The 14,571-nt window shown below is 41.0% G+C and overlaps 1 annotated feature.

Moving 5' to 3' along the window:
• Positions 1-14,571: part of a centromere (Linear centromere model derived predominantly from reads generated in PMID: 17803354. This region does not represent an actual centromere sequence, as long-range ordering of repeats and unmapped WGS contigs is not provided by the model. For details of model production, see http://arxiv.org/abs/1307.0035.) that runs on past both edges of the window.

The raw sequence follows: 14,571 nt of genomic DNA on the forward strand, positions 1-14,571 counted from the left end.
AGTTGAACTTTGCTTCGGAAAGAGCAGCTATGAAACACTCTTTTTCCAGAATCTGCAAGTGGACATTGGGAGGGCTGTGAGGTTTGTGGTGGAAAAGGAAATATCTCCACATAAATACTAGATAGAAGCCTTCTCAGAAACTTCTTGGTGATGATTGCATTCACCTCACGCAGTGGAGCATTCTTATTGACAGAGCAGTTTGGAAACCCTCTTGTTGTAGAAGCTGCTAGTGGAGATTTGGACCGCTTTGAGGCCTATGGTAGTAAAGGGAAGAGCTTCACATAAAATCTAGACAGAAGCATTCTCAGAAAATACTTTGTGATGATTGAGTTTAACACACAGAGCTGAACATTACTTTGGATGGAGCAGGTTTGAAACACACTTTCTATAGAATCTGCGAGTGGATATTTGGACCTCTCTGAGGATTTCGTTGGAAACGGGATAACTGCACCTAACTAAACGGAAGCATTCTCACAAAATTCTTTGTGATGTTTGCATTCAAATCCCAGAGTTGAACCTTCCTTTGATAGTTCAGCTTTGAAACACTCTTTTTGTAGGATCTGCAGGTGGATATTTGGACCACTCTTTGGCCTTCGTTCGAAACGGGTACATCTTCAAATAAAATCTAGACAGAAGCCTTCTCAGAAACTTCTCTGTGACGATTGCATTCAACTCAAAGCGTTGAACCCTCCTATGGATAGAGCAGTTTTGAATCTCTCTTTTTGTGGAATCTGCAAGTGGATATGTGGTCCTCTTTGAAGATGTCTTTGGAAACGGGAATATCTTCACATAAAAACTAAACAGAAGCATTCTCAGAAAGTTCTCTGTGATGTTTGTGTTCAACTCACAGAGTTTCACGTTGCTTTTCATAGAGCAGATGAGAAACATGCTTTTCGTAGGGTCTGCAAGTGGACATTTGGAGAGATTTCAGGCCTGTGGTGGAAAACGAATTATCGTCACGTAAAAACTAGAGAGAAGCATTGTCAGAAACTTGTTTGTGATGACTGCATTCAACTCACAGAGTTGAAGGTTCCTTTTCAAACAGCAGTTTCCAAACACTCTTTCTGTGGCATCTGCAAGTGGATGTTTGGGCCTCTTTGAAGATTTCGTTGGAAACGGGATAATCTTCACAGAAAAGCTAAACAGAAGCATGCTCAGAAACTTCTTTGTGATGTTTGCTTTCAACTCACAGAGTTGAACTTTCCTTTTGAGAGAGAAGCTTTGAAACACTCTTTTTCTAGAATCTGCAAGTGGATATTTGGAGGGCTTTGAGGCCTGAGGTGGAACAGGAATTATCTTCCCGTAAGAACTAGATAGATGCATTCTCAGAAACTACTTTGTGACGAATGCATTCAAGTCACAGAGGTGAACATTCCCTTTCAGAGAGCACTTTGGAAACTCTCGTTGTGTAGAATCTGCAAGTGGAGATATGCACCGCTTTGAGGCCTATGGTAGTAAAGGAAACAGCTTCATATAAAAACTAGACAGCAGCATTCTCAGAAAACTCTTTGTGACGACTGAGTTTAACTCACAGGGCTGAACATTCCTTTGGATGGAGCAGTTTGGAAACACACTATCTGTAGGATCTGCAAGCGGATACTTGGGCCTCTCTGAGGATTTCGTTGGAAACGGGATAAACCGCACAGAACTAAACAGAAGCATTCTCAGAACCTTCTTCGTGATGTTTGCATTCAACCCACAGTGTTGAACCTTTCTTTGATAGTTCAGGTTTCAAACACTCTTTTTGTAGAAACTGCAATTGGATAACTGCACTTCTTTGAGGCCTATCGTAGTAAAGGAAATAACTTCCTATAAAAACAAGACAGAAGCTTTCTCAGAAAATTCTCTGGGATGATTGAGTTGAACTCACAGAGCAGTACTTTCCTTGGGATGGAGTAGTTTCGAAACACACTTTCTGTAGAATCTGCAAGTGGATATTTGGACCTGTCTGAGGAATTCGTTGCAAACGGGATAATTTCAGCTAAGTAAACAGAAGCAGTCTCAGAATCTTCTTGTGATGTTTGCATTCAAATCCCAGAATTGAACCTTCCTTTGAAAGTTCAGGTTGGAAACACTCTTTTTGCAGGATCTACAAGTGGATATTCGGACCACTCTGTGGACATCGTTCGAAACGGGTATATCTTCACATAACATCTAGACAGAAGCATTCTCAGAAACTTTTCTGTGATGACTGCATTCAACTCAGAGAGTTGAACACTCCTTTTGAGAGCGCAGTTTTGAAACTCTCTTTCTCTGGAATCTGCAAGGGGACATGCAGACCTCTTTGAAGGTTTCGTTGGAAACGGAATCATCTTCACATAAAAATTACACAGAAGCATCCTCAGGAACTCTTTGGTGATGTTTGTATTCAACTTCCAGAGTTGAACTTTCCTTCGGAAAGAGCAGCTATGAAACACTCTTTTTCTAGAATCTGCAAGTGGACATTGGGAGGGCTGTGAGGTTTGTGGTTGAAAAGGAAATATCTCCACATAAATACTAGATAGAAGCCTTCTCAGAAACTACTTTGTGATGACTGCATTCACCTCACGGAGTGGAGCATTCCTATTGACAGAGCAGTTTGGAAACACTCTTCTTGTAGAATCGGCTAGTGGAGATTTGGAGCGCTTTGAGGCCTATGGTAGTAAAGGGAAGAGCTTCACATAAAATCTAGACAGAAGCATTCTCAGAAAATTCTTTGTGATGATTGTGTTTAACACATAGAGCTGAACATTCCTTTGGAGGGAGAAGGTTTGAAACACACTTTCTGTAGAATCTGCGAGTGGATATTTGGACCTCTCTGAGGATTTCGTTGGAAACGGGATAACTGCACCTAACTAAACGGAAGCATTCTCACAAAATTCTTTGTGATGTTTGCATTCAAATCCCAGAGTTGAACCTTCCTTTGATAGTTCAGCTTTGAAACACTCTTTTTGTAGGATCTGCAGGTGGATATTTGGCCTACTCTTTGGCCTTCGTTCGAAACGGGTACATCTTCAAATAAAATCTAGACAGAAGCCTTCTCAGAAACTTCTCTGTGATGATTGCATTCAACTCAAAGCGTTGAACCCTCCTATGGATAGAGCAGTTTTGAATCTCTCTTTTTGTGGAATCTGCAAGTGGATATGTGGTCCTCTTTGAAGATGTCTTTGGAAACGGGAATATGTTCACATAAAAACTAAACAGAAGCATTCTCAGAAACTTCTCTGTGATGTTTGTGTTCAACTCACAGAGTTTCACGTTGCTTTTCATAGAGCAGATGAGAAACATGCTTTTCGTAGGGTCTGCAAGTGGACATTTGGAGAGATTTCAGGCCTGTGGTGGAAAACGAATTATCGTCACGTAAAAACTAGAGAGAAGCATTGTCAGAAACTTGTTTGTGATGACTGCATTCAACTCACAGAGTTGAAGGTTCCTTTTCAAACAGCAGTTTCCAAACACTCTTTCTGTGGCATCTGCAAGTGGATGTTTGGGCCTCTTTGAAGATTTCGTTGGAAACGGGATAATCTTCACAGAAAAGCTAAACAGAAGCATTCTCAGAAACTTCTTTGTGATGTTTGATTTCAACTCACAGAGTTGAACTTTCCTTTTGAGAGAGAAGCTTTGAAACACTCTTTTTCTAGAATCTGCAAGTGGATATTTGGAGGGCTTTGAGGCCTGAGGTGGAAAAGGAATTATCTTCCCGTAAGAACTAGATAGATGCATTCTCAGAAACTACTTTGTGACGATTGCATTCAAGTCACAGAGGTGAACATTCCCTTTCAGAGAGCACTTTGGAAACTCTCGTTGTGTAGAATCTGCAAGTGGAGATATGGACCGCTTTGAGGCCTATGGTAGTAAAGGAAACAGCTTCATATAAAAACTAGACAGCATTCTCAGAAAACTCTTTGTGACGACTGAGTTTAACTCACAGGGCTGAACATTCCTTTGGATGGAGCAGTTTGGAAACACACTATCTGTAGGATCTGCAAGCGGATACTTGGGCCTCTCTGAGGATTGCGTTGGAAACGGGATAAACCGCACAGAACGAAACAGAAGCATTCTCAGAACCTTCTTCGTGATGTTTGCATTCAACCCACAGTGTTGAACCTTTCTTTGATAGTTCAGGTTTGAAACACTCTTTTTGTAGAAACTGCAAGTGGATAACTGCACTTCTTTGAGGCCTATCGTAGTAAAGGAAATAACTTCCTATAAAAACAAGACAGAAGCTTTCTCAGAAAATTCTCTGGGATGATTGAGTTGAACTCACAGTGCAGTACTTTCCTTGGGATGGAGTAGTTTCGAAACACACTTTCTGTAGAATCTGCAAGTGGATATTTGGACCTGTCTGAGGAATTCGTTGCAAACGGGATAATTTCAGCTAAGTAAACAGAAGCAGTCTCAGAATCTTCTTGTGATGTTTGCATTCAAATCCCAGAATTGAACCTTCCTTTGAAAGTTCAGGTTGGAAACACTCTTTTTGCAGGATCTACAAGTGGATATTCGGACCACTCTGTGGACTTCGTTCGAAACGGGTATATCTTCACATAACATCTAGACAGAAGCATTCTCAGAAACTTTTCTGTGATGACTGCATTCAACTCACAGAGTTGAACACTCCTTTTGAGAGCGCAGTTTTGAAACTCTCTTTCTCTGGAATCTGCAAGGGGACATGCAGACCTCTTTGAAGGTTTCGTTGGAAAGGGAATCATCTTCACATAAAAATTACACAGAAGCATCCTCAGGAACTCCTTGGTGATGTTTGTATTCAACTTCCAGAGTTGAACTTTCCTTCGGAAAGAACAGCTATGAAACACTCTTTTTCTAGAATTTGCAAGTGGACATTGGGAGGGCTGTGAGGTTTGTGGTGGAAAAGGAAATATCTCCACATAAATACTAGATAGAAGCCTTCTCAGAAACTACTTTGTGATGATTGCATTCACCTCACGGAGTGGAGCACTCCTATTGACAGAGCAGTTTGTAAACACTCTTCTTGTAGAATCGGCTAGTGGAGATTTGGAGCGCTTTGAGTCCTATGGTAGTAAAGGGAAGAGCTTCACATAAAATCTAGACAGAAGCATTCTCAGAAAATACTTTGTGATGATTGAGTTTAACACACAGAGCTGAACATTCCTTTGGATGGAGAAGGTTTGAAACACACTTTCTGTAGAATCTGCGAGTGGATATTTGGACCTCTCTGAGGATTTCGTTGGAAACGGGATAACTGCACCTAACTAAACGGAAGCATTCTCACAAAATTCTTTGTGATGTTTGCATTCAAATCCCAGAGTTGAACCTTCCTTTGATAGTTCAGCTTTGAAACACTCTTTTTGTAGGCTCTGCAGGTGGATATTTGGACCACTCTTTGGCCTTCGTTCAAAACGGGTACATCTTCAAATAAAATCTAGACAGAAGCCTTCTCAGAAACTTCTCTGTGACGATTGCATTCAACTCAGAGAGTTGAACCCTCCTATGGATAGAGCAGTTTTGAATCTCTCTTTTTGTGGAATCTGCAAGTGGATATGTGGTCCTCTTTGAAGATGTCTTTGGAAACGGGAATATCTTCACATAAAAACTAAACGGAAGCATTCTCAGAAACTTCTCTGTGATGTTTGTGTTCAACTCACAGAGTTTCACGTTGCTTTTCATAGAGCAGATGAGAAACATGCTTTTCGTAGTGTCTGCAAGTGGACATTTGGAGAGCTTTCAGGCCTGTGGTGGAAAACGAATTATCGTCACGTAAAAACTAGAGAGAAGCATTGTCAGAAACTTGTTTGTGATGACTGCATTCAACTCACAGAGTTGAAGGTTCCTTTTCAAACAGCAGTTTCCAAACACTCTTTCTGTGGCATCTGCAAGTGGATGTTTGGGCCTCTTTGAAGATTTCGTTGGAAACGGGATAATCTTCACAGAAAAGCTAAACAGAAGCATTCTCAGAAACTTCTTTGTGATGTTTGCTTTCAACTCACAGAGTTGAACTTTCCTTTTGAGAGAGAAGCTTTGAAACACTCTTTTTCTAGAATCTGCAAGTGGATATTTGGAGGGCTTTGAGGCCTGTGGTGGAAAAGGAATTATCTTCCCGTAAGAACTAGATAGATGCATTCTCAGAAACTACTTTGTGACGATTGCATTCAAGTCACAGAGGTGAACATTTCCTTTCAGAGAGCACTTTGGAAACTCTCGTTTTGTAGAATCTGCAAGTGCAGATATGGACCGCTTTGAGGCCTATGGTAGTAAAGGAAACAGCTTCATATAAAAACTAGACAGCAGCATTCTCAGAAAACTCTTTGTGACGACTGAGTTTAACTCACAGGGCTGAACATTCCTTTGGATGGAGCAGTTTGGAAACACACTATCTGTAGGATCTGCAAGCGGATACTTGGGCCTACCCTGAGGATTTCGTTGGAAACGGGATAAACCGCACAGAACTAAACAGAAGCATTCTCAGAACCTTCTTCGTGATGTTTGCATTCAACCCACAGTGTTGAACCTTTCTTTGATAGTTCAGGTTTGAAACACTCTTTTTGTAGAAACTGCAAGTGGATAACTGCACTTCTTTGAGGCCTATCGTAGTAAAGGAAATAACTTCCTATAAAAACAAGACAGAAGCTTTCTCAGAAAATTCTCTGGGATGATTGAGTAGAACTCACAGAGCACTACTTTCCTTGGGATGGAGTAGTTTCGAAACACACTTTCTGTAGAATCTGCAAGTGGATATTTGGACCTGTCTGAGGAATTCGTTGCAAACGGGATAATTTCAGCTAAGTAAACAGAAGCAGTCTCAGAATCTTCTTGTGATGTTTGCATTCAAATCCCAGAATTGAACCTTCCTTTGAAAGTTCAGGTTGGAAACACTCTTTTTGCAGGATCTACAAGTAGATATTCGGACCACTCTGTGGACTTCGTTCGAAACGGGTATATCTTCACATAACATCTAGACAGAAGCATTCTCAGAAACTTTTCTGTGATGACTGCATTCAACTCACAGAGTTGAACACTCCTTTTGAGAGCGCAGTTTTGAAACTCTCTTTCTCTGGAATCTGCAAGGGGACATGCAGACCTCTTTGAAGGTTTCGTTGGAAACGGAATCATCTTCACATAAAAATTACACAGAAGCATTCTCAGGAACTCCTTGGTGATGTTTGTATTCAACTTCCAGAGTTGAACTTTCCTTCGGAAAGAGCAGCTATGAAACACTCTTTTTCTAGAATCTGCAAGTGGAGATTGGGAGGGCTGTGAGGATTGTGGTGGAAAAGGAAATATCTCCACGTAAATACTAGATAGAAGCCTTCTCAGAAACTACTTTGTGATGATTGCATTCACCTCACGGAGTGGAGCATTCCTATTGACAGAGCAGTTTGGAAACACTCTTGTTGTAGAATCTGCTAGTGGAGATTTGGAGCGCTTTGAGGCCTATGGTAGTAAAGGGAAGAGCTTCACATAAAATCTAGACAGAAGCATTCTCAGAAAATACTTTGTGATGATTGAGTTTAACACACAGAGCTGAACATTCCTTTGGATGGAGAAGGTTTGAAACACACTTTCTATAGAATCTGCGAGTGGATATTTGGACCTCTCTGAGGATTTCGTTGGAAACGGGATAACTGCACCTAACTAAACGGAAGCATTCTCACAAAATTCTTTGTGATGTTTGCATTCAAATCCCAGAGTTGAACCTTCCTTTGATAGTTCAGCTTTGAAACACTCTTTTTGTAGGATCTGCAGGTGGATATTTGGACCACTCTTTGGCCTTCGTTCGAAAAGGGTACATCTTCAAATTTAATCTAGACAGAAGCCTTCTCAGAAACTTCTCTGTGACGATTGCATTCAACCCAAAGAGTTGAACCCTCCTATGGATAGAGCAGTTTTGAATCTCTCTTTTTGTGGAATCTGCAAGTGGATATGTGGTCCTCTTTGAAGATGTCTTTGGAAACGGGAATATCTTCACATAAAAACTAAACAGAAGCATTCTCAGAAACTTCTCTGTGATGTTTGTGTTCAACTCACAGAGTTTCACGTTGCTTTTCATAGAGCAGATGAGAAACATGCTTTTCGTAGGGTCTGCAAGTGGACATTTGGAGAGCTTTCAGGCCTGTGGTGGAAAACGAATTATCGTCACGTAAAAACTAGAGAGAAGCATTGTCAGAAACTTGTTTGTGATGACTGCATTCAACTCACAGAGTTGAAGGTTCCTTTTCAAACAGCAGTTTCCAAACACTCTTTCTGTGGCATCTGCAAGTGGATGTTTGGGCCTCTTTGAAGATTTCGTTGGAAACGGGATAATCTTCACAGAAAAGCTAAACAGAAAGCATGCTCAGAAACTTCTTTGTGATGTTTGCTTTCAACTCACAGAGTTGAACTTTCCTTTTGAGAGAGAAGCTTTGAAACACTCTTTTTCTAGAATCTGCAAGTGGATATTTGGAGGGCATTGAGGCCTGAGGTGGAACAGGAATTATCTTCCCGTAAGAACTAGATAGATGCATTCTCAGAAACTACTTTGTGACGATTGCATTCAAGTCACAGAGGTGAACATTCCCTTTCAGAGAGCACTTTGGAAACTCTCGTTGTGTAGAATCTGCAAGTGGAGATATGGACCGCTTTGAGGCCTATGGTAGTAAAGGAAACAGCTTCGTATAAAAACTAGACAGCAGCATTCTCAGAAAACTCTTTGTGACGACTGAGTTTAACTCACAGGGCTGAACATTCCTTTGGATGGAGCAGTTTGGAAACACACTATCTGTAGGATCTGCAAGCGGATACTTGGGCCTCCCTGAGGATTTCGTTGGAAACGGGATAAACCGCACAGAACTAAACAGAAGCATTCTCAGAACCTTCTTCGTGATGTTTGCATTCAACCCACAGTGTTGAACCTTTCTTTGATAGTTCAGGTTTGAAACACTCTTTTTGTAGAAACTGCAGGTGGATAACTGCACTTCTTTGAGGCCTATCGTAGTAAAGGAAATAACTTCCTATAAAAACAAGACAGAAGCTTTCTCAGAAAATTCTCTGGGATGATTGAGTTGAACTCACAGAGCAGTACTTTCCTTGGGATGGAGTAGTTTCGAAACACACTTTCTGTAGAATCTGCAAGTGGATATTCGGACCTGTCTGAGGAATTCGTTGCAAACGGGATAATTTCAGCTAAGTAAACAGAAGCAGTCTCAGAATCTTCTTGTGATGTTTGCATTCAAATCCCAGAATTGAACCTTCCTTTGAAAGTTCAGGTTTGAAACACTCTTTTTGCAGGATCTACAAGTGGATATTCGGACCACTCTGTGGACTTCGTTCGAAACGGGTATATCTTCACATAACATCTAGACAGAAGCATTCTCAGAAACTTTTCTGTGATGACTGCATTCAACTCACAGAGTTGAACACTCCTTTTGAGAGCGCAGTTTGGAAACTCTCTTTCTCTGGAATCTGCAAGGGGACATGCAGACCTCTTTGAAGGTTTCGTTGGAAACGGAATCATCTTCACATAAAAATTACACAGAAGCATTCTCAGGAACTCCTTGGTGATGTTTGTATTCAACTTCCAGAGTTGAACTTTCCTTCGGAAAGAGCAGCTATGAAACACTCTTTTTCTAGAATCTGCAAGTGGACATTGGGAGGGCTGTGAGGTTTGTGGTGGAAAAGGAAATATCTCCACATAAATACTAGATAGAAGCCTTCTCAGAAACTACTTTGTGATGATTGCATTCACCTCACGGAGTGGAGCATTCCTATTGACAGAGCAGTTTGGAAACACTCTTCTTGTAGAATCGGCTAGTGGAGATTTGGAGCGCTTTGAGGCCTATGGTAGTAAAGGGAAGAGCTTCACATAAAATCTAGACAGAAGCATTCTCAGAAAATACTTTGTGATGATTGAGTTTAACACACAGAGCTGAACATTCCTTTGGATGGAGAAGGTTTGAAACACACTTTCTGTAGAATCTGCGAGTGGATATTTGGACCTCTCTGAGGATTTCGTTGGAAACGGGATAACTGCACCTAACTAAACGAAAGCATTCTCAGAAACTTCTTGGTGATGTTTGCATTCAAATCCCAGAGTTGAACCTTCCTTTGATAGTTCAGGTTTGAAACACTCTTTTTGTAGGATCTGCAAGTGGCTATTTGGACCACTCTGTGGCCTTCGTTCGAAACGGTTATATCTTCGCATAAAATCTAGACAGAAGCTTCTCAGAAACTTCTCTGTGACGATTGCATTCAACTCAAAGCGTTGAACCCTCCTATGGATAGAGCAGTTTTGAATCTCTCTTTTTGTGGAATCTGCAAGTGGATATGTGGTCCTCTTTGAAGATGTCTTTGGAAACGGGAATATCTTCACATAAAAACTAAACAGAAGCATTCTCAGAAACTTCTCTGTGATGTTTGTGTTCAACTCACAGAGCTTCACGTTGCTTTTCATAGAGCAGATGAGAAACATGCTTTTCATAGGGTCTGCAAGTGGACATTTGGAGAGCTTTCAGGCCTGTGGTGGAAAACGAATTATCGTCACGTAAAAACTAGAGAGAAGCATTGTCAGAAACTTGTTTGTGATGACTGCATTCAACTCACAGAGTTGAAGGTTCCTTTTCAAACAGCAGTTTCCAAACACTCTTTCTGTGGCATCTGCAAGTGGATGTTTGGGCCTCTTTGAAGATTTCGTTGGAAACGGGATAATCTTCACAGAAAAGCTAAACAGAAGCATTCTCAGAAACTTCTTTGTGATGTTTGCTTTCAACTCACAGAGTTGAACTTTCCTTTTGAGAGAGAAGCTTTGAAACACTCTTTTTCTAGAATCTGCAAGTGGATATTTGGAGGGCTTGGAGGCCTGTGGTGGAAAAGGAATTATCTTCCCATAAGAACTAGATAGATGCATTCTCAGAAACTACTTTGTGACGATTGCATTCAAGACACAGAGTTGAACATTCCCTTTCAGAGAGCACTTTGGAAACTCTCGTTGTGTAGAATCTGCAAGTGGAGATATGGACCGCTTTGAGGCCTATGGTAGTAAAGGAAACAGCTTCATATAAAAACTAGACAGCAGCATTCTCAGAAAACTCTTTGTGACGACTGAGTTTAACTCACAGGGCTGAACATTCCTTTGGATGGAGCAGTTTGGAAACACACTATCTGTAGGATCCGCAAGCGGATACTTGGGCCTCCCTGAGGATTTCGTTGGAAACGGGATAAACCGCACAGAACTAAACAGAAGCATTCTCAGAACCTTCTTCGTGATGTTTGCATTCAACCCACAGTGTTGAACCTTTCTTTGATAGTTCAGGTTTGAAACACTCTTTTTGTAGAAACTGCAAGTGGATAACTGCACTTCTTTGAGGCCTATCGTAGTAAAGGAAATAACTTCCTATAAAAACAAGACAGAAGCTTTCTCAGAAAATTCTCTGGGATGATTGAGTTGAACTCACAGAGCAGTACTTTCTTTGGGATGGAGTACTTTCGAAACACACTTTCTGTACAATCTGCAAGTGGATATTTGGACCTGTCTGAGGAATTCGTTGCAAACGGGATAATTTCAGCTAAGTAAACAGAAGCAGTCTCAGAATCTTCTTGTGATGTTTGCATTGAAATCCCAGAATTGAACCTTCCTTTGAAAGTTCAGGTTGGAAACACTCTTTTTGCAGGATCTACAAGTGGATATTCGGACCACTCTGTGGACTTCGTTCGAAACGGGTATACCTTCACATAACATCTAGACAGAAGCATTCTCAGAAACTTTTCTGTGATGACTGCATTCAACTCACAGAGTTGAACACTCCTTTTGAGAGCGCAGTTTTGAAACTCTCTTTCTCTGGAATCTGCAAGGGGACATGCAGACCTCTTTGAAGGGTTTCGTTGGAAACGGAATCATCTTCACATAAAAATTACACAGAAGCTTTCTGAGAAACTTTTTGTGATGTATGCATTCATCACAGAGATTTGAACATTTATTTTCATGGAGCAGTTTGGAAACAGTCTTTTTGCAGAATCTGCAAAGGGAAATATGTAGGCAGTTTGAGGCCTATGGTGGAAAAGGAAATATCTTCATATAAGAACTACACAGAAGCCTTCTCAGAAACTACGTTGTGATGATTGCATTCACCTCACGGAGTGGAGCATTCCTATTGACAGAGCAGTTTGGAAACACCCTTGTTGTAGAATCTGCTAGTGGAGATTTGGAGCGCTTTGAGGCCTATGGTAGTAAATGGAAGAGCTTCACATAAAATCTAGACAGAAGCATTCTCAGAAAATACTTTGTGATGATTGAGTTTAACACACAGAGCTGAACATTCCTTTGGATGGAGAAGGTTTGAAACACACTTTCTGTAGAATCTGCGAGTGGATATTTGGACCTCTCTGAGGATTTCGTTGGAAACGGGATAACTGCACCTAACTAAACGGAAGCATTCTCACAAAATTCTTTGTGATATTTGCATTCAAATCCCAGAGTTGAACCTTCCTTTGATAGTTCAGCTTTGGAACACTCTTTTTGTAGGATCTGCAGGTGGATATTTGGACCACTCTTTGGCCTTCGTTCAAAACGGGTACATCTTCAAATAAAATCTAGACAGAAGCCTTCTCAGAAACTTCTCTGTGATGATTCCATTCAACTCAAAGCGTTGAACCCTCCTATGGATAGAGCAGTTTTGAATCTCTCTTTTTGTGGAATCTGCAACTGGATATGTGGTCCTGTTTGAAGATGTCTTTGGAAACGGGAATATCTTCACATAAAAACTAAACGGAAGCATTCTCAGAAACTTCTCTGTGATGTTTGTGTCCAAATCACAGAGTTTCACGTTGCTTTTCATAGAGCAGATGAGAAACATGCTTTTCGTAGGGTCTGCAAGTGGACATTTGGAGAGATTTCAGGCCTGTGGTGGAAAACGAATTATCGTCACGTAAAAACTAGAGAGAAGCATTGTCAGAAACTTGTTTGTGATGACTGCATTCAACTCACAGAGTTGGAGGTTCCTTTTCAAACAGCAGTTTCCAAACACTCTTTCGGTGGCATCTGCAAGTGGATGTTTGGGCCTCTTTGAAGATTTCGTTGGAAACGGGATAATCTTCACAGAAAAGCTAAACAGAAGCATGCTCAAGAAACTTCTTTGTGATGTTTGCTTTCAACTCACAGAGTTGAACTTTCCTTTTGAGAGAGAAGCTTTGAAACACTCTTTTTCTAGAATCTGCAAGTGGATATTTGGAGGGCTTTGAGGCCTGAGGTGGAACAGGAATTATCTTCCCGTAAGAACTAGATAGATGCATTCTCAGAAACTACTTTGTGACGATTGCATTCAAGTCACGGAGGTGAACATTCCCTTTCAGAGAGCACTTTGGAAACTCTCGTTGTGTAGAATCTGCAAGTGGAGATATGGACCGCTTTGAGGCCTATGGTAGTAAAGGAAACAACTTCATATAAAAACTAGACAGCAGCATTCTCAGAAAACTCTTTGTGACGACTGAGTTTAACTCACAGAGCTGAACATTCCTTTGGATGGAGCAGTTTGGAAACACACTATCTGTAGGATCTGCAAGCGGATACTTGGGCCTCTCTGAGGATTGCGTTGGAAACGGGATAAACCGCACAGAACTAAACAGAAGCATTCTCAGAACCTTCTTCGTGATGTTTGCATTCAACCCACAGTGTTGAAACTTTCTTTGATAGTTCAGGTTTGAAACACTCTTTTTGTAGAAACTTCAAGTGGATAACTGCACTTCTTTGAGGCCTATCGTAGTAAAGGAAATAACTTCCTATAAAAACAAGACAGAAGCTTTCTCAGAAAATTCTCTGGGATGATTGAGTTGAACTCACAGAGCAGTACTTTCTTTGGGATGGAGTAGTTTCGAAACACACTTTCTGTACAATCTGCAAGTGGATATTTGGACCTGTCTGAGGAATTCGTTGCAAACGGGATAATTTCAGCTAAGTAAACAGAAGCAGTCTCAGAATCTTCTTGTGATGTTTGCATTCAAATCCCAGAATTGAACCTTCCTTTGAAAGTTCAGGTTGGAAACACTCTTTTTGCAGGATCTACAAGTGGATATTCGGACCACTCTGTGGACTTCGTTTGAAACGGGTATATCTTCACATAACATCTAGACAGAAGCATTCTCAGAAACTTTTCTGTGATGACTGCATTCAACTCACAGAGTTGAACACTCCTTTTGAGAGCGCAGTTTTGAAACTCTCTTTCTCTGGAATCTGCAAGGGGACATGCAGACCTCTTTGAAGGTTTCGTTGGAAACGGAATCATCTTCACATAAAAATTACACAGAAGCATCCTCAGGAACTCCTTGGTGATGTTTGTATTCAACTTCCAGAGTTGAACTTTCCTTCGGAAAGAGCAGCTATGAAACACTCTTTTTCCAGAATCTGCAAGTGGACATTGGGAGGGCTGTGAGGTTTGTGGTGGAAAAGGAAATATCTCCACATAAATACTAGATAGAAGCCTTCTCAGAAACTACTTTGTGATGATTGCATTCACCTCACGGAGTTGAGCATTCCTATTGACAGAGCAGTTTGGAAACACTCTTCTTGTAGAATCGGCTAGTGGAGATTTGGAGCGCTTTGAGGCCTATGGTAGTAAAGGGAAGAGCTTCACATAAAATCTAGACAGA

This window comes from Homo sapiens, chromosome 17, assembly GCF_000001405.40.
Source record: "Homo sapiens chromosome 17, GRCh38.p14 Primary Assembly".
Lineage (NCBI taxonomy): Eukaryota > Metazoa > Chordata > Mammalia > Primates > Hominidae > Homo > Homo sapiens.